Below are 20,785 nucleotides of genomic sequence, written 5' to 3' on the forward strand. Positions count from 1 at the left end.
TTTTGAGACAGGGTCTTTCTCTGTCACCCAGGATGGAGTGTGGAGTGCAATGGCACAATCTCTGCTCACTGCAACCTCCGCCTCCTGGGTTCAACTGATTCTCATACCTCAGCCTCCCAAGTAGCTGGGATTACAGGCGCACACCATGACACCCAGCTAATTTTTGTATTTTTAGTAGAAGTGGGGTTTTGCCATGTTGGCCAGGCTGGTCTCAAACCCGTGACTTCAAGTGATCCACCTGCCTCAGCCTCCCAAAGTGTTGGGATTACAGGCAGAAGCCACCACATCCAGCCTCTTGTATTTTGAATATAGCTCTTTTATCAGATATGTGCTTTGCAAATATCTTCTCCAGTCTGCATCTTTTTATTACCTTCACAGCTTCTTTCACACAGAAGTTTTTAATCTTAATAAAGTCTAAGTTACCAATTTTTGTCATGGACGGTGCTTTTGGTGTTCTTATTAAAAACTCATTGCCAAGCCAAAGATCACCTAGATTTTCCCCGATAATATCTTCTAGAAGCTTTAGTTTTGTATCTTGCTTTTAGAGCTATGATCTATTTTGAATTTTGTGAAAGGTATAAAATCTGTCTAGATTCATTTTTTTCCATATGGGCATCAAAGTGTTCTAGCACCACTTGTTAAACACTTTTTTCCTTTGCGAGAGATGAGTAACATATTTGTGTGACTCTATTTCCAGGCTTTCTATTGTTCCATTAATCTGTCTATTCTTTCACAAGTATCACTGTCTTGATCACAGTAGCTTTTATAGTAAGTCTTTGAAGGTGGGTAATGTCGGACTTCCAACATTTTTCTTCATTATTGTGTGGGCTATTCTGTTCTTCTTATATAAACTTTAAAATCACTTTGCCAATATCTATAAAACAGCTTACTAGAATTCTGGTTGTAAGTACACAAAGTGATCTTTTAAATCAGGTAGAAAAGAAAACCAAACCATACATTCCTACTGTCTCTATATTTACCTATGTAGTTATCTTTTTCAGTGTTCTTTATTGCTTCATGTGGATCCAAATTACTGCCTAGTATTTTCAATATCAGCCTGGAGGACTCCCTTGTTATTTCCTGTGGGGCAGGAATGCTGGCAGCTCTTACAGGTTTTGTTTACCTGGAAAGTCTTAATCTCTACTTTTGTGTTTGGAATATTCTTTTTCTGGATATTGAATTTTTGGCTGATCAACCTTTATCTTTCAGCACTTTGAATGTGCCATTCAATTGCCTTCTGGTCTCTATGCTTTCTGATGAAGTCAGCTGTTAATCTTAGTGTTTCTTATTGCTTTTGAAACTTTGGCTTTTGACAATTTCATTATGATGCATCTGGGTATGAATGTCTTTGAGTTTATTCTACATGGAGTTCATTAAGCTAATTTACATGTGCAGATGAATGTTTATCAAATTTTAGAAGTTTTCAAATGATTGTTTCTGTCCTTGTCTCTCCTATTCTGCTGCTTCCATTATTCATATGATAGTATTGATAGTGTCCCACAGGTCTCCATAGCTCCTTTTCTTTAACTGGATAATATCAAGTGATCTGTCTTCAAGTTTGCTGACTTTTTTCTTCTGCCAGTGCAAATCTTCCATTGTACTCCAGTAAATTTCATATTTCAGGTATTTTCTCCTAAATTCCACAATTTTATTTAGTTCTTTTTCATAATTTTTGTCTCTTTATCAATATTCTCCATTTGGTGAGACATTGTTATCTAAAGTATCAGGATACCCAATACGTTTACTCTAAGACAGTTTCTATCAGCTGTCCTTTATTTTTACCTATATGGGCATACTCTCCTATTTCTTGTGGGTCTTGTAATTTTTTTTTTGAAGATTGGACACTTTAAAAATCAGATCTCCCTTCCACTACCCCCTGCCAGGTTTTGTTGTTTTAGCTGCTGCTGCACTTGCTGCTGCTGCTGTTTTTGTAACTTTCCTAAATTGTGTAAGATTTTTACTACTTAGTGGTCATGTACAGCCACTGAAGTCTCTGCTGAGTGTAGTGATCCCTTCATGATTGGATAGAGTTCCTTAAATGTGTTAATCCAAAACCCTTCCAGCCTTTGCCAAGGGAATCTGTGTGTGTTGGCAGATAGCTTACCATTCTTCCTCAGCCTTTACCTCCTGTTTGCAAAGAACTTCAAAATCAGAAGTGAGAGATTTAGGACTTTAAGCCTTTCCTGGGCATGCAACATCTTAGCACTTGTGTGTAGCCATTTAGATTGACAGGAATATGTTGGAATTTATCACCATATAGACATCTCCATTTTTCCTTTTAAACTGTAGGGTTGGCCTCTTGTTAGCCCCAACTGGTAATGCTGCCTTAGATATCTGTGATGTTAAATAATTGTCTGATTATCAGCAAACACCTTGGCATAGAAGTGGTTACACAGGTAAAATAAAGAATATCCCTGAGGCTGGATCTTGTCATTGGAGGCTTTCAGATTAAATAGTGGAAAATTCTGGAATTGGGGCGACTAGGGAGCTCCGAATTGTTCTGCCTCTTCCAGTGGCTTGCCAGGCTAATTTCTAGAGCTACTGTAGTTGCAAAGCTGTTATGGTTCTCAAGGTTACCACGAAGCTGAGGGAGGAGGAGGATTGGAATAGAGCAAGTTAAAATGCCCCAAAGTTCACTGATAATACTTGAAATCCATCCATTTTCCTTGAACATATACTCCTCAAATTGTTGTTGTAAGCCTTTAGACTAATTTCCAGGGTTTTGAGAAAGTTTATTTTTGACAAATCTTGCCTGTATCACCACTGGCTTTTATGGAGTAGATTTTCAAAGGTGGTTGTTCAGCCTTGGGAGAAGTGCAGGTTTTTTGTCTCTCGATACCAAATGTTTCCATTGTTCTCAAATGATACCCATATCTTTTCAAGTGTCTGGGTCAATTACAAAGTATCCCATATTATGAACAAAATCCAGAACTTCTTAGTTCCAATATGATTTGTTTTCCACAGAAAATTCTGGTATTAAACCACAATTTCTCAATGTTCTCTGGAAAAGGGAGGATGGGGAGATAAAGCTATCAAATGTTGAATATGAAGAGTTTTCATGGAAAAAAAGCACATCTTGCCATTTAAAGAATTACTCAAACTTCACATGGAATATGTCCATTTACTATTTACTGTATTATGATCCCCAAAAGTCAAATGTTATAATACAACAGCACTTGTACTACTAACATAATATCACAGGAAAGGCATATTATGTTTAACCCGAATAACTAGCCAAGTAATGACGCCTATAAACTTGAGCTTCTACTGAAAAGAAATTCACAAATATTCTTAAATACACAGCCAGAGGAAGTTATTTCATGTTTAGTACATGCATTTAAACTTTTAAATAGTTTATAATAGAATATGCCTGAAATTCTTAATTGTTTAAATTTTATTTGCTTGAAACAGGGTTAAAATAGCAAATACCATGAGAAGAGAAACTTCAGAAGGAAAAAAAGCCTTCAGTATCAATCATAGAGGTGAAACATGTAATAATGGTTAAATTTTTAAAGCTCGCTAGCACTTGACTACAAAAACAAATGTTTACCCTAATCCAGTTAGCAAACTCTGATAAGGAAGTTATCCCAGTGAAACCTTAAATTTTCCACTTACATGATATTATATATTATCACTTTCTAACTTGTTTAAACTTGTGACATTTGATATTTTCATAGTCACTTTATTACAAGACTTAAGGAGAACCAGACTAGCCAACTCTCGTTTTCCACTAAGGCAATAGCCTCAACGGAGTCTTAAGACAAACATTCTTGTTTTTTTCCTTCTTTTATACTGAGCCTAAAAGCTTTTAATCTCTTGTTTTCTAAGCCCGTGGAATCATTCAAGCCTGATTGTTCCATAAAAGAATTCTTTCTCAAATGGGAAATTAAATTAGAAATAAAAGTTAAATCATACCTTATATTTAATGTGTTCAACTATTCAGAGTGTATTTTGCTATAGAATACTTGGAAGCCATAACTTATTAATTTTTTTTGAGTAATTAAGAAACAGATTTATCAAACACTCAACTTGGCCAAGATGCAAACATATTATAAATAGGAGATTCTAAAATAAGCATCTGACAAATTTAGCAGCAGAAATTTCATGTCTCCAATTAAGTATCATAATTGATTCTTGAAGGCATCTTTCCAAACAATTCTCAACTTTGCAAATGCTGAACACTAATTTTAACCCAGTTATCTCTATACATTTGAACAAATCAAAGTCCAAGATCCAGAGTTCTCTAGTAAATTTTTTTCTTTCAAATGCTCTTGCCAAAACTGGGATTTTTTTTTTTCCCACTATTTCAGAACCTGCACGTTTCAAAGCCAAAAAACTGGAACATATTTTTGTATGTGCACTGGCTATATTCAAGTTCATTTGTGTGAAGAAGAAACCACAATTTATTCTGCTCTCCCCTGTACCATGGGGCTAGAAGTCTAACAACTGTATCTGCAGAGTCCCTTACCTCTAAAGTCCTAAATACAGTCTGCATTTTGCTAGCAAGAAACACAAAAAGCCTGGAAAGTGAAATTGAAACTGATCCCGTTTCTTCCTCTCCAGCGTGTGTGCTTGCCAAATGGGAGCTTTAGCAGCCTCCAATTTCCTTGTTAATCCTGCCTCAGGCATGTAGAAGAGCCATAAAACCTGCAGTGAGTTCCTTAAGGACCTATACCCTGTGTAGCAGCTGCTGCCTGCCTCTCTGTAGCAGTGAACCTGGAGTTATTTGGCCCTTTCTAACTTTCACTCCCCTAGTACTGCTGGCAGTTGATAAGTATGTGATTCCCTAAGTCGAATCATTTCTGCTTGAAATACATAGTGACTTTGTTTTCCTGTAACCTGGATTTGATGGTATTTGATGCCCCCAAACAGGGCAGCCTGGCAACTTCTGAAGCATTTTACAGAGTGAAGCTCCTCCTCCTCAGCCTTCATTGTCACTGCGAGGCATTGTCAGAATTGGAGCTTCTGAGACTTCCCTAATTTCTCATCTCTCATCTCTCATAGCTATGGGGTCAGTGTATCATAAAGCCAAACCCAGATTTTAATCCTTCATATTACAAAATAATCACAAAAGTTAGCTTAATATCTACATCAGGGATCTACATAAAACTCCAATTCATTCTCGCCCTCCCCATTCTCAGGATACTATTACACTCAAATCACTCGCCAACTCCCAAATCCTACTGAGCGCCACTGCTACAGAAGCACCCAAGCCTTACCTGCCTAAGGATTCAAACTTCCCTTGGCTTTTAAAGATCCTCTACTGACTTCACCCAAGAAAGTTACCTTGCAAGGGGACTCTGAATCTCCACAAGGCACACTTCTACCACCTCTCATTTCTTTTAGACCAGTAACTTAAATAGAGACACACACCCAGGGGACAGAGTTGCACATAGAAAGCAATAGCTTATACGCTGTCAGGATTGCAACCTTTGGTTGTTACATCAGCAGAAAACTAGGGGTGTGTCTGGAAATAGATTATAAAGGTATTAGTCCAGGGAAGAAGAAATGTAACATTGTACTGGTTTCAAGTAATAATAGAGCACTTACTTTCTATAAAAGTCTAGACTTAATGTGTTGTCTTGAGCAGCTAGCATCAATTGTTTGGTCTAAACATGAGTTCACTGTTGGCCTGCATTAAGTTGAACTTAAGATGCTAGAACTGCTTTAGCAAAATACAGAAGGGTAACCCAAAGTCTTAGATGGGCATGGGCTTAATCTTTCATGCCTCATCCCTCACGCCCTTGCCCTACCCTTTTTACTCCAGAGTTGCTGCAGCAATTTAGATAAGGGTGGTCGAACAATGCCCCATCTTAATTGCACCACATCTGCCTTGCTTTCTGCCCAAGACTTCTCTCTCTTGCTGCCCCGTGAACACCTGCTGCCCCGTGAGCCCTCTTCTCCATTTTTGGCTCAGGCACAAACCTGAAATTGCAAGGTAGCTACTACCATCTGGCCAAAGGGGTAATGAAATATAGAACTAGACTCCTCTGTCCCATGCCTTGTACAGCACATTCTATGTACTCAGAAGGCTCCAGAAAAGCTTAGTTAGCTTCAGTTTTCAGTAATGATGAGAACTCTATTCTTCCCATGCCTTGTACAGCACATTCTACGTGGTCGCTCAGAAGGTTCCAGAAAAGCTTAGCCCCAGTTTTCAGTGGTGATGAGAACGTAACCTCTGCTGCAGTGAATATCAGTGCCCCTTTCTGCCTTTTCCTATAGTGCACATGGTGTGACCACCACCCTCTCGCCCTCCTCATTGAGCACTGTCTCCAGCCACTGCAGTCTTCTGTCCTTGCACATACCATAGACCTCAGGCACCCAGGACTCTGCACCCCTGGAAACCACCCCATCTGGGGACTGATGGAAAGTCTTATATAAATACTTCAGCCCAATTGCCACTCGGGTGGGATAATCTCGACCCTCTGGTTCTGAGTCCTCCCACAGGGTTAACTTGCTTGACAATGTGCCCTTCATTCAGAAGAGGTTACTAGGAAATGATAGTAAAAGAATAGGGAAATGAGGAAAAGGGAAAGGAAGAAAGTTAGCGCTTGAATTCTTGAGACCTGCTTCTAGGAAAACTTGAAGACAGCTGTTACTGGAAGAGGCTTCAGAAAGTGGATAAGGGAGATCTAGACTCGGGTCCCTTGCTGGCCAGACTGAAACTAGGACCCCATGACTGATAGTAAGTACATAGTGACAATCCCTGGCATGCTGGAGATCATGTTACCAAGGCCCTTCCTGCAGTTAACTGGGATGGACATCAGTAGAACAGGGTGGACTGTCCTATATAGTATCTTTAGCACAGGGAATATCTGGCAATGTCTGAGACAGTTTTGGTTGTCACAACTGGGCAGGGTGGGGGTCTCCTGTTATCTAGTGGATAGAGGCAAGGGATGCTGCTAGACATACCATGATGTACAGGACAGTCCCCCACAACAGGAATAATCAGGCCCAATATCACCCAGTGGATCAGAACCCCAGGTGCCGGTCCAGTCTTTTGATTATGCTAGTCTCCAAGCTTTATACTTCCTCTTTACATTAAAACATTTAATTTTGTTTAAAATTCAAATGAATTTAACTATAAGACTTTATGTACTAATCAAACAAAATGCCTAACTTGTTTAAAGAGTGTTCGTAAATCAGTAGAAGAGATTAACACGTTAAAATCCCCAAATAGAAAGCAAAATGACACATGAAGATCTCTTAATGACCATGGCCAACAAACATGCGAGAAGAGATCCTCATTAATAACCAATGAAGTGTAAATGTATCAGGATCATTAGGTAAACAGAAATCACTCGATGTTTCAAGTAGGCAGAGACTTAAAATGGGGTACCTGGGTGTGGTGGCACCTGTAATCACAGCTACTCTGGAGGCTGAAGCACGAGAATTGTTTGAACCCAGGAGGCAGAGGTCGTAATGAGTCAAGAACACACCACTGTACTCCAGCCTGGGTGACAGAGTGAGACTCAGTCTCAAAAAAAAAAAAAAAAAAAAAAAAAAAAAAAAAAAAAAAAAAAAAAAAAAGGTGGCAGGTGGTGGAAAACTATAGCTGTTTATAAAACATCTGGGAAAGCTGGAAGAAGGTGGTCCACTGCTAGCTCTCAGATGTTGCTCAAAGTTGCTACTGCCACCCAGGCCAGGGGAAGCAGGAAGTCCCTGTCAATGGTACTATTTACAACCAGCAGCAAGGAGGCAGATGTTTTAGGGAAGATATCAGATCAAGAGCCCTTCAGATCCCTGCCTCTGTCTACTTCCAGAAGATGGATGTCGCTTCCCAGGCTGCTTCTGAATCTTGCCTGAAGGCTCTTGTGATGGGGTCTAAACCAGTACAGTGCCAGAAAGGGATTCTAGAAAATGTAGCTTCCAGGTAGCAGTCCCTGTGAAATAGGGAGAATAGAGGCGGGTCGGGGGGAGGGGAAGGAAAGTTGCTGAATGCAACAGAAGGTTGCACCTTAAAACAATGACACGATGCCAATCACAGCTCACTTACAAGATGCTGAGGGCTCTCAGTCAATGAGACTAGTTCCTTCTAGAAAGGCAGTGCAAACTCATCCTCTTCCTGGCAGGGTTTCCACTAAGATAAAACCGTGATCACTGAAAATCTGCATATCAATTGACCAACCCAACTCAAGGAATTTATCTTAGCGTAATATTCACACAAATTTACAAAACTATATACACAGATATTCCTCATATTAAGATGCAAAACTGATACAACTTAACTATTAATGGATTTTGATTAGTTATATGTCATAAAAGCATGCAGCCCTACATGTAAGGCATGTTTGTATTTGATAAAATATTCTATTTACTTTTGTGTCTTTTGCCCTCAAGATAAAATCCCAAATCCTTACCTGCAGGTGTCTCTGGCCCCTGCTTGGTTGACCAACCTCATCTCATGCTGTTCCTCCTCATTACCAACTATGCCTCAGCCACATGGTCTACCTTCCAGGGCCTCTTCCCTTCTAGGGGCCCTCATTCACACAGTTCCCCTGCCAGAAACACTCAATATGATGTATGTCATCCTACAGAGGCACTTATGTAAAAGTACATATAAATATGTGCATAAAGAAACTGGATTTTTTGAAGATATTCTTGTATTTCTTATCTGGTTATACTTGCAACTCTAAAGCTTATTAAATTACTTTGCAACTCTAATGGTTAATTTGAAAATCTAGAGAAAATTACACATGAAACATTGCAACAAATTTGAAATTCTAGTGGAAACAGATGCTTTCCTTGTGAAATGTTTTTAAAAGAATGACTTGCCAAGAAGGTGATTTGACCAACCCTACAACCTAGAAAACTTTTGAGTCACTGTTATGAACTTCTCTCAATATCTTAGAGGTAGATTTTGTTTCATAAATTAGCTTCAATATGGTCTTTTATAGTGAAATGTGTCATCCATATAGAAGGGTGTTTATAACATGAGTGCTTTTTCTTTAAATACACATTGACTGTCCAGGTTAAACTATAGGCTGTTCCCTAGTATCTTGAAAGCTTTCTATGTTTCTCCCTTATGGAATCTCCTTTTCCTTCCAGCACCCAAGAAATTAACACAAATGTTAACACACTGATTCTGGCTTATTTCTGTAATAAATGTAAATCCTCAACAGAGATAACAAAACATACCGTATAGCTTTTTAAATGAACAAGCACAAGCCTAGATAAGGAAAAGGTACTTGTGCCTCTATCAGACAAAGACACCTGTGAGAAGATAAACTAAATGGACTCCTGGGTCCAAGGCCAGCATGACCTTCTGCTTACAAGGATCAGTTTGGTACAGAGTGGACAAGCTGAGTGAGTTCTGGGAAAGAAGGAAACCCCAAAGTTGCATTCAGCTGATTGCAAGAAGGAAGAGGCTACTCTGTATTTTCAGCTTCTAAGCTTTCCCTTGGCTCCGTCCAGTTCTGAGAAACATTTCTGAATAGAACGATTCTGTTTTTACCTGAGTATCCTCCAGGGATTCCCGCATACAGACCTGAGGGGAAAGCAAAAACTTCAAGAGCTTAACACAAACCAAATACTAAAAAGGATGGGCCACGCTGACCTGGGGGATTCTGTCCTCGGATTAAAGAGATGGGGCTCTTGGATGGCTCACTCTTGGGACACTCTGAGACCCCAGAAACCAGGCTGTGAGAAGTCCAAGCTCCAGGAAGAGGTCTTGTGAACTCAGCTAGTGTTTACCCCAGCTGACAGCTGAGCACTCAGCGTCAACTGCCAACCATGTGGGTGAGCAGGGGTAGCGTCCCACACAGTGGAGCCTCCAGGTGGCTCCGGACTGTGTGAGATGGTTAATCTTACGGGTCAGCTCAATTGGGCTATGGGGTCCAGTTGTTTGGTCAAACACCAGTATAGATGTTGCTGTAAAGGCTTGTATTATATGATTAGCATTTAAATCAGTAGACCTTGAGTAAAGCAGATTAACCTCAATAAGGTAGGTGGGCCTCATCTGATCAGTTGAATGCCTGAACAGAACAAAAGACTGACTGCCCTTGAGCAAGAGGGAATTCTGTCAGCAGACACACCTCTGACTTGGACTGCAATGTTGGCTCTTCCCTGGGTCTCCAGCCTGATGGCCTCCGAAGTTAAACTACATAAGCTCTTCTCTGGGTCTTCTGCCTACTGGGCCACCCTGCAGATTCTGGATTTCCCAGTCTCCTTAACTTCATGATCCAATTCCTTAAAATAAATCGATCTCTCCCTGTGTATATACACATACTTTATATATATATAGTATATGCATACATAAATTGGTAAATAAGGCAATCTATGTGTATATACACATACATGCACACACACACACACACACCATATTGGTTGTTTTTCCAGAGAACTCTGACCAATATATACACCCGCAGTAATCACAACTACAAATGCAGACACACAAATACCACCACAATCGCACAAGTAAGGACCACCCAGCTGAGCCCAATTAGCTCAGAACCATGAGGAAGTCATGAACAGTAGTTCTAAATTATTAGGGTCCAGGCACGGTGGCTCATGCCTGTAATCCCAACACTTTGGGAGGCTGAGGCGGGTGGATCACCTGAGGTCAGGAGTTCGAGAACAGTCTGGCCAACATGGTGAAACTGTCTCTACTAAAAATACAAAAAATTAGCTGGGTGTGGTTGCAGACACCTGTAGTCCCAGCTATTTGGGAGGCTAAGGCAGGAGAATCACTTGAACCTGAGAAGTGGAGGTGGCAGTGAGCCGAGATTGTGCTGCTGTACTCCAGCCTGGGCAACAAGGGTGAAACTCTGTCTCAAAAAAATAAAATAAACTATTAGGAACTGGTGGGGCTTGTTATACAATGAGATCATGGGAAGACTCAGATAAAATGGGCTTTCTTGCTCATAACTGAGAGCATCTTTACAATACATTGTCCACCCTCTTCTAACTTACAACTTTTCCTGTGAGGTCTTGACAGTTGAGGCTTATTTTGTTCTCTCCAGTTTCCTCTAGGAACTCTACTTCATTGGAGAATATTTGCTTTGTTTTTCCCAGACTAATTTTCTCTTCTGACCTTCTAAATACTCTAAATATCTGTAGAGGATCTCGATCGATTAGGATGAAAAGACAAAGAGCAAATTCCCTTTCAACCCTGATTCTGCAATGATTCCTGATGTAACCATTGGAAGTTCAAAACAGGACTTTTCACAAGAATACACTAGCACTGAAAACATTTCACCATTGGATTGGTCATTTCAGCAGGACTTGGCGATGGTCACATAAGCATAACTGGTCATCCTCAGGGCTTAAAACATACTTGTATTGTGAATCTCTACTAAGCATATTAATATCAACTATTGTGCCTTCACTGTGAAGTGGATCACTTGTAAACACCAACTAGCCCTTCATTTTATTTCATACTGTGTCCGAAATCAGTATATCCCTCCCAGTTTTGTTCATTCACATTGCCCTGGAATAAAAATGAGGTTAAAGATAAAAGGATAAACAAGTTTGTGAATCTCTTGTAAGTAATATAGATGAATTTAAACCTAAGAGTTAGGTGTTTTGTTTAACGAGTTTAAATCATTTAGTGTCTTTTCTACTATGATAGTTGTTTTACAACATTGTGTAGTGCTTTTAATTCTGGTGGTTCATGTATGAAAGCAAGACAAGTTTAGTTATGTGTGGCCTTCAAAGTTACTTCAGTAGAGCTTTTTTCAAAAAAATGACAGTATGTAAGCCAGGTAAGCAATGCTATAATTGGGTTAATTATAGCACCTAAGTCATAGTATTTTTGCAAGTGTTAGATAATGTACATGTATAACCCTTGACTCCACATATTATGAGTTAAATCTAGACAGTTTCAATACTTGAATTCTACTTTTAATTATATGCTTGTACAGAGAATTTGTTACTTAATCTGGAATCTAAGAAATAATCTGGATCAAACTTGTAAAAACTTGAAGTGTGCAAAAGCAAACTAAGTTATTTGAGAGTGCCTTAGTCTGTGCAGGCTGCCACAACAAGACCAAAGACTTGGGTGGTTTATAATCAGCAGAGACATTTCCTATACTTCTGGAGGCTGGAATTCTAAGCTCCAGGGTGCCAGCATATTTGAGCTCTGGCGAGGGCCCTGTTACAAGTTGCAGATAGCCAACTTTTTCTTGTGATGTCACATGGAAGAAAGAGGGTTGGAGAGCCCTCTGGCTTCCTCTTTCCTAAGAGGACAAATCCCATTTAGGAGGGCTCCGCCACCAAAATGCCTAACCTCCTAACATCATCACCCAGGGGTTAGGTCTCAATATGTGAGTTTTAGGGGCACACAAACATTCCATTACAGAGGGATTTCCAAGGAACCAAGCCACCTAAAAAATATGTCCCACCCTTCCATTCCCCACTGGTTTGGGAATGCATTTGAAGAATTTATAAAACAGAATTCTAATGTGTCAGCCTCATTACTGACAAAGGCAGAGCTGGAGGATGTGACTTCATGTCAGAGCCAAAAATTAAGCCACAAAATTAAACAAACACACTCCATGGAAGTGTGGGACGGGGCCTGGCCCTGAAGGAGCAGAGGAGAAGGCTGTTCTCCTTTGGCACACTGGGACCCCCAGGGAGGAGAAGAGGAGTCTGAGCTGAGCATGTCCAGTTCATTGTTCCAAAATTGACCAGTCAGTCAAGTCATTCTCCCTTCTTGATGCAAAAGGACAAGCTTGGTCAAAGCCAGGAGTTAACATTAACTGAGATTTTTCTATCTAGGAGGAAATGTTCCAAGTGGAGGAGCACCCATCATGCTCATCTTTTCATAGGGAAATCAAATGACAGCTGCGATGGAGTATCTGACACACAAACTCTCCTGGGGTTCTCGGGCCTCACCTTCCTCTTTGTCACCTTCACTGTGTCCTTTTCCCTGGCTCAACCTCTCCTGGAAAGTCCCTTGGGGTTTGCTCCTTGGTCCTATTCTCCATTCTCCCTCACCTTCCTAAGTGAGCTTATTGAGAGCCTTAAATACCAGAAAAAGATTGAAAGCTCCTCACTTAATTTTCTATATCAAGTGTAATTTTCATATTAAAAAATAATTAAATGGTTATATTTATGAATATAAATGCAAAACATGGAACACACTAGCATATAAAAATACCAATTATAGGCCGGGCAGGGTGGCTCACGCCTATAATCCCAGCACTTTGGGAAGCCCAAGGTGGGCGGATCACCAGAGGTCAGGCATTCAAAACCAGCCTGGCCAATATGGCGAAACCCCATTTCTATTAAAAATACAAAAAAATTAGCTGGGCACGGTGGTGTGTGCCTGTAATCCCAGCTACTCAGGAGGCTGAGACAAGAGAATCACTTGAACCTGGGAGGCAGAGGTTGCAGTGAGCAGAGATTGCACCACTGCACTCTACCCTGGACAACAGAGCAGGACTTTGTCTCAAAACAAAAGAAAAACCAATTGAAGTAGACACTGTAGTGTACCACAAGGTCTCTCCCCACTCCTTTTATTATTGACCAAGTGACTACTAGATGATGGGAGTACTGGTGGCTGATAGCTGTTAGCTGAGTTCTTCTCTGGGCATTGACCTTAGCTGAAGAGAGTCACTTTACCCAGGGTCCAAGGGTGAACCCCCTTCCTTGCAGATGCAGAGGTACAAAGGCCCAGCCACTGTGGACCAGTCCAAGACAACTCTGAGCCATCCAGTTCCAGAGTTCCCTGTGGGATTAGCAGTTTGATTACTCGTTCCCTCCAACCCTGTTACCCTGCTTCTCCAACTGCCCCAGGACTGCGCTGCTCATAAAGTTCCATCTGACACTTTCCATGGAACCCAACCTGCAACATCAATAGACAATGACCAAGTCAGCTTTAATCAAATATGATTAGTAAAATACTTTGTTTTGAGGACTTTTCTGTTTAATAATATCCTGTGCAACCATTTTGCATAAAGCTGCTGGAGGATATGGTCCAACAGAGCACAGGGGGAATACACAGTGAAAGTGGAAGAGGGAATGGATGAAACACTAAGAAACTTAAGGCAAGATCTAAGATGACTGCTGTGCACCAAGCAATTAGTCTGAATTAGAGAAGAGTGAATTGGGAGCAAACATTTTAAAGACTGCTGTTACCAAGAGACCTATTGCCACTGTTGGTAAGATCCAGGACTGAGTTTTGTCTGTGTTTTTATTCAGACATCACACATGATAATCTTGCTGGGTGTAGAATACTAAGCCGTGAATTATTTTTCTTTAAAATGTTCTGATAAGCCGAGGTGGATAGATCACTTGAGCCAAGTTTGAGACCAGCCCGGGCAACATGGCAAAAACCCAGCTCTATTAAAAAACACACAAAATTAGCCAGGCATGGTGGCATGCACCGGTAGTCCCAGCTACTCAGGAAGGTGAGGTAGGAGGGATCGCATGAGCTTGGAAAGTTGAGGCTGCAGTGAGCTAATACCACCACACTCCAGCCTGGGCAATGGGAGTGAGACCCTGTCTCAAAACATATGATAAAATGCAGGGAAAGTGTAGCTTTAACTTAAAATGTTATGACCACTGTTAGTGCAAATATTTTCTGACTTCCTTTCCAAACTAAAGCGCATGCCTGGCTAACCCAGTGCTTCGTACTCTCAAAGCACTTAGAAAGAGATTCATGGTAAAGTTATTTTAAAGAGATATTCTCATTAATGCTTTGATAAGTCTCATAGTCTATGGTTTCTATCAAATTTTAACTAAGGTGAAATCAAAGAAATTTAAGGCTTATGATTATATTTCTACCAAAAGCAAGAACATGATGAGTTTAGCTATGAATAATTGCAAGAGAACGTTAATATGTTGGTGTCTGTGACGACATCTGAACTCCTGAAGTCGGATGCATAAAGTTTGGATGTTTTGTTCTGCCTAGAGTGGGACAGCGACCCTTCTACCCCTCCTTACCCCTTTTATGGTCACAGGATTGAAGATCTGAAGAAACTACCTACTGTCTTCTCCCACTTGGGCTATCTCCATAGCCTTCTCGGTTATCTAAGATTATTGAAGGTTTGTGTCCCAGTTTCCTCCTTTGTTGTGGATAATAATCATCGCTATCTCATAGTTTCTATGAGATGATGTATGCAAAGCACTTGAACCATGCCTGGCCACAGTAAGTGCCACAGACATTTGCTAGATAAGAAGTTCTGGAACATATGTTGAATAAAGCGAAACCTGTTTTCCACAGAGGATGATTCCCCAAATGTCTATTTTTCTCTTCCAAAAGGGGGTCATACTTGTTGCTTGCTGTGTGGTAGGTACCCTAGTGCTGGGCACTGAAGTTGTACCAATGACAATGGCTCATTCTGTTCCGAGTGGGGCATAGGCGTATATAGTCGACCGATGATTAATGTCTTACAAATGTTTACAAATTTTGAGAAAGTAGGATGAAATCAAAGTTGCTAGGGATCGTCCTGGGGTTAACACGGACAGTGTTAAGATGGGGCACTTCATACACCAGACCTATGGCTTCCCCCAGAAGTGACATGTATTGCTTCTGCTCATCTATCTTCAGCCAGGAACATCTTTCTCCTCCTCATAAAACCCCTTACCTCCACCTGACCAACTCCCACTTAGCTTTTGGGCTCTCTGAAGGAAAGGCTTAAGGCATTGTGAGAAACTAGAGGAACATAGGATTTACATGGAAGGGGCAGCGTGGGGGATGCTCAAGAAATCCCTCTCCGAGTCCAAAGGATGAGTAAGTGTTGACCAGGCCCCAGGAGAGGGCATTCCAAGCAGTCCAAGGAACAAGGGCCAGACCCTGAGCAAGGAGGACACTTGGTGCCCTGAAGAGGCCAAGAGATGATTGTGGCCGAGGGAGGGGCAGAGAGCCAGGGAGGATCGTGTTGGAAGGTGAGGAGGTGGCTGGGTCAGGCCTCACAGCATCTGGTAGTCCGTGGCAAAGGATTCAGACAATAGCCTTCCTCGGCCCACTCCTGGCTTCCTGTTGGCTTAGGATACCAGTATCCTGGTAGTGGTGGGAGCTATCATGGATCAGAGAACGTGGAAGCTAGTGTTGTCATCCCCCAAGCAGAGGGTCCCGATTTGATTCACAGCAGAGATTTGAGTCCTTACTCCCAGAGTTTGACTGGCACCTCCAATCCCCCTATGAAGCGCCAGGGTGTGGGCCTTAAGGGGGAAGGGTTTATCCGTAGGATATTGTTACAAGTGGTCTGGTTCACCTAGGTGCAATGGGGAGAGCAGGTGACAGATCAGCAGAGGTGGGGCCCTGGAGCTGCTGCTCTGCATTGCTGGTCTTGTTCAGTGTCCTCTGCCCAGCTACTGGAGGATGCCTGTTGCTGAGTGAGCATGGAATGGGCTGTTGAGCCAGTGAGGGGAGGCACAGAGGGCTGTCATCAGTGAGGTGAGGGATGCCCAGGCAGAGGGAACAACATATGCAAAGGCAGTTTCCTGTAACCTGAATTCCCTGCCTGACATAATTGATTAAACACAAACTTTTGCTCATTCTTCCCTATCAGGACTTCAAGAGGAGGTGGCCTGTGAGTTGACATTGTCATTACAGCAATTAAACCTGCCTAAGGGAATGCAGACTGTACAGTGAGAGGCAGGGAGGAGGAGCACTTATCTCATTGTGTTTGAATGATTATTAAACACTCACTAATTGTGCTGGGCCCTGGGGATACAATCTGCCAAGCAATTACACCCAGCCAGGCCTTCCCAGATAATCTGTTGGAGGGGGGTGGGAATAGCATTTCTAGACTGCCTTCCAGGTGAGGCGGGAACAGAGAATAGGACTGCCTGGTGTCCCTTTCCCTCTGGGCTTTGGTCTCTGCAGGGTCAGTCCCTCCTGCCTCCTTTGTGAGGCCTGGACCAGAGCTCCTGGGAGGACTATAGGCATCTCCCAAGGATGGAGCATCTTCCATGAAAACAGCAGTGATTGACTCTAGGGTGGCCACCTGTCCTGATCTTCCTGGGACTCAGGGGACAGAGAATGTGGGATCTTCAATGTTAACACCAGGACAATCCCTAGCAATTTTGACTTCATCAGCCTTTCTCCCATACACATGCAATGGTGCCAGGCCTGGCTGAGCCTTTCAAAGGCTCATGAGGTATGATAGGTTTTTGCATGTTTTTTTGTTTTTGTTTTTGTTTTTGTTTTGCAACAGCTGGCAGGGCCCTGCTCACCCCTGCCTTAATTCCTGTAAGCTACCCCCCACCACTCTAGGCAGTCCCCCAACTGACAGTCCTCCAGGCCTAGCAGTTGATCAAGCCTCTAACAGGAAGCAGATGGATGTCCAAAGATTTCCCTGGAGAGAGTACCTGAAGCTACTATTAATAGACATGAAGGCAGAGTTAAGGGAACCAGGAAGGGAGAGTGGGGCACCCGGGGTCTAGGAACCTTGGGAAGCCTCTTTCCACATTGGAAGCTGCAGGGGTCTGGGTCTGGGGGTGGAGGTCTTGCTAGACCCCAGAAAGAGATGGACCACTCCATGACAAGGCAGCAAGGGATTGAGGTTTGATAGGTATCCTGATATCTTTCTGTCTACGCTCCCATCTTTTGCCAGTGTCGCCCACTGACCAACTCCAAAGGGAAGCCAAGGGGGGCCTGGATGATGCCATCCTAGAATCAGCCTCCCAGGCATAGAGCAGGAATCGGTGGGCAGAGAACAAATCTAGAGAAAAGCCAGTACATACACCAGTAAGGTAACCCCAGAGCTGAGCCTTGGAGCCTGAGTTCAAGAGTGCCAGGGCCAACCAATGACTTTCTCCAAAGATGCAAAATATCCAAGAATGCAGGGACCTGGGGGTCCCCAGACCTTGGCTTGACTCCTTGCCTGGCCTATAGCCAAGTCTCCTCTGTGTCCTAAGCTATCACACAAGGATAATGTCACCTACCGTATGGGGGCACTGAGGAATAAAAGAGTACAGCATATTAGCATGTGTGGTGGGGAGAGTAGTCTATCACCTGTTTGGAGAATGAGAGTAGGAATTTTTTTCTACCCTTATCAGATTGAATTTGATCCTCTCACAACACATGTAAAGTGCCTGGCATAGCACCTAATGTGAAATATCTTATTTGGTTTCTGGACCCTGCTGGTTCTTGTGAGACTTCAGACTTAAGTAATTTGACTCAACCTCCCCTTTGGTAAATAAGGATTGTTATTTAAATCTGCCCCCCAAAATTCATGCGTTAAACTTAATCCCCAATGCAATGGTATTGGAAGGTGGGGCCTAATAAGAGATTGGGCCATGAGGGTGGAGCCCCCAGGAAATAGATTAACTCAAAAGTGAGTCTTGGGAGTGGGTTTTAAAATGGCCCCTGGTGCCCTCACACACTCTTGCTTCCTCTTTCCACCGTTTAGCCATAGGATGACCCTCACCAGGTAACACCATGCTCTTGGACTTCCCAGACTCCAGAACCATGAGTTAAATAAACTTCAATCCTGTATAAATTACCCAATCGGTAGTATTCTGTTATAGCAACAGAAAATAGACTAAGACAAGGATCAAAATGGCACCTGCCAGATAGGTTCATTGTGAGGATTAAAGAGATATTTAGAACATGCCTGGAACCTACTATTGCTAGTATTAGGTTTAAATGAATTACCTCATGTAGGTCACTTAGTAGCCTCCCAAAAAATGACAAGCTCCATTTTACAGAGGAAGCACTTGCATAGCTTTTTTATGTGATAAACTTGGCTAGACTACAGTCCCTGTTATTCAATCAAATGCTAATCTAGATGTTTCTGGGTAGGTACTTCATAGGTATGATTAAAGGTCATAATCAGTTGACTTCAAGTAAAGAAGACTGTCCTAAGTAAACTAGGTGGGCCTGGTTCAGTCAGTTGAAAGGCCATAAGAGCAGAGTTGAGGCTTTCCTGATGGAGAAGACATTCCACCTGGGGGATACCACTTTTGGCCCATGCCTGAGAGTCCCAGCCTGCTCATCCTGGAGGCCAGCCCTGCAGATTTCATACTTGCCTAGACCTCACAATCATGTAAGCCAACTCCTTCCAATAAATCTCTTAATATATATTTCCTAATGGCTCTGCTTCTCTGGTGGGATACCTAGCTGATATAACCTCTGAACCCTTGAGAGGGTATAAGAAATTTGCCCAGGGCTTGTTCTGCAAGAGATGGAGAACTAGAATTAGGATTCAGGCCCCCTGACCCGAAGCCCTGCTCTCTCCCATTAACTGTAGAAGACTGGCTGTGTGGCCAGGGGGTGGCCTGATCTCCAGGGCTCATGGGTGAGTGAATATTAATTACTTCCCTGCCATTACCCCAAATGCTCCTGAACTTCATACCTCATTCCCCTTTCATGGCCAGCACTGTGAGCTGCATTCTAGAATAAAAGGCAGAGCCATTGTCTGGCAGGACAGGAAGAAGGGAGCAGCCCTCCAGGGCACCAAACCCCTGGACCATAACCCAGGCCCCTGCACCTGCCTGCTCAGAGGATGCCTTCAGGAAAAATCCTTACCCCCAACATGCCAACTTTTTTTTTTTTTTTTTTTAAACAAGATGCCACGTGCCCCCACCCCCTTCAAAAACCATCTATTCCTGGTGCCCCACTGGGGCGTTGCCATGGCAACAGGCAAAGCCAGAGGCCCAGCAAACAGGCCTGCTTTTCTTGATGGTTCTTTGGGGACTACACTGCCCTCAAAGAATATGCAAGCCAGCTTCCTCTTCTCTGAGCAGCAGTGAACAAAGACCCTCCCTTCCTTTTCTCTTTACCCCGAACCCAGGCCCTATAGGCTGAGGACTCTGGCTGGAGGAGCCAGAGAAGAATTGCAGAGAATCCTAAGTTCTGATCCTAGGGCCAAAGCCAAGAGTGGATTCAGCACCCCCATTTCAGTTTGGGCCAAGAGTCAGGATAGTGGGGTTCACCAAGAAATAATCAGAGCTGTTACCCCTTGAAGGGAAATGTGGGCGATGCTTCCAAGGGGAATGGTGAGAGCTAAGAGCTGCTGTGTCTGGTCATATCAGCAGAACCACATTGGAGACAACCATGCTGTAACACTAGGAAGTTAGATCATGGGACAGCTGGGGGGTGGGGGCTCTCATTCCACTCCAAGGTCACACTTGTCAACAGCAATCACCACCCTAGGCTCCGGCCCTTCTCCAGCTTGTCCCTATTAGTCAGTGTAAGTTGGCATCTGCACCAGGCACTACAGCATGTGACGGCAGTTCAGGTGAATCTTCTGTGGATGTGGGAGTGGCTAAGAGGAGTGGAGGGGACACATGGACTGCACATTGCCATCCTCGCCACGCTTTATTGACCCCACAGAGTAGGCAGGCCAAGTCTGTGCCAAAGCCCCAGACCTTGTTGTCTTACCATTGTTAGCCATAACCCTGCAAGAGAGAAATCAAATGAGATCGCTGTATGGGGCATGCATTCTAACTCCTGGCCTCACAGACCCTGGGGCCCTGAAAAAGCGGGGAGGACCAGCAGGCAGGAGTTTGTTCCCTCTTTGTGCTCACCACTTCCATGTGCCATTCTACAGATGTCCAACCTGCCTCCTGATTCTGCCAGAGACCTCTGGCTGAGCCAGGCTCAGAGCTGACCTAAGGCAAAGTCCAGGAGGATGAGGATAGCCAGAGGGGTGAGAGCATCACAGGGTCTGTTGCTGGGAGGCCTAGGGAGTAGAGGCCATCTTCACATCTGAAGAACACAGCAGGGATTCAGCCACAGGGGCCTCCTGGGCCCCGAGCTCAGATACGCTTCTGCCTGGAGCCTTGGCTCTTGCCCATCAGCAGCTGGAATGTTCTTCCTGCCCCCATCTGCTCAAGCTCACCTTTCCAGTGGAGAATGGTCCTGACGGCCAACTGTGTACAGCCACCTGTT

This window comes from Homo sapiens, chromosome 8 (genome assembly GCF_000001405.40).
Source record: "Homo sapiens chromosome 8, GRCh38.p14 Primary Assembly".
Classification (NCBI taxonomy): Eukaryota; Metazoa; Chordata; class Mammalia; order Primates; family Hominidae; genus Homo; species Homo sapiens.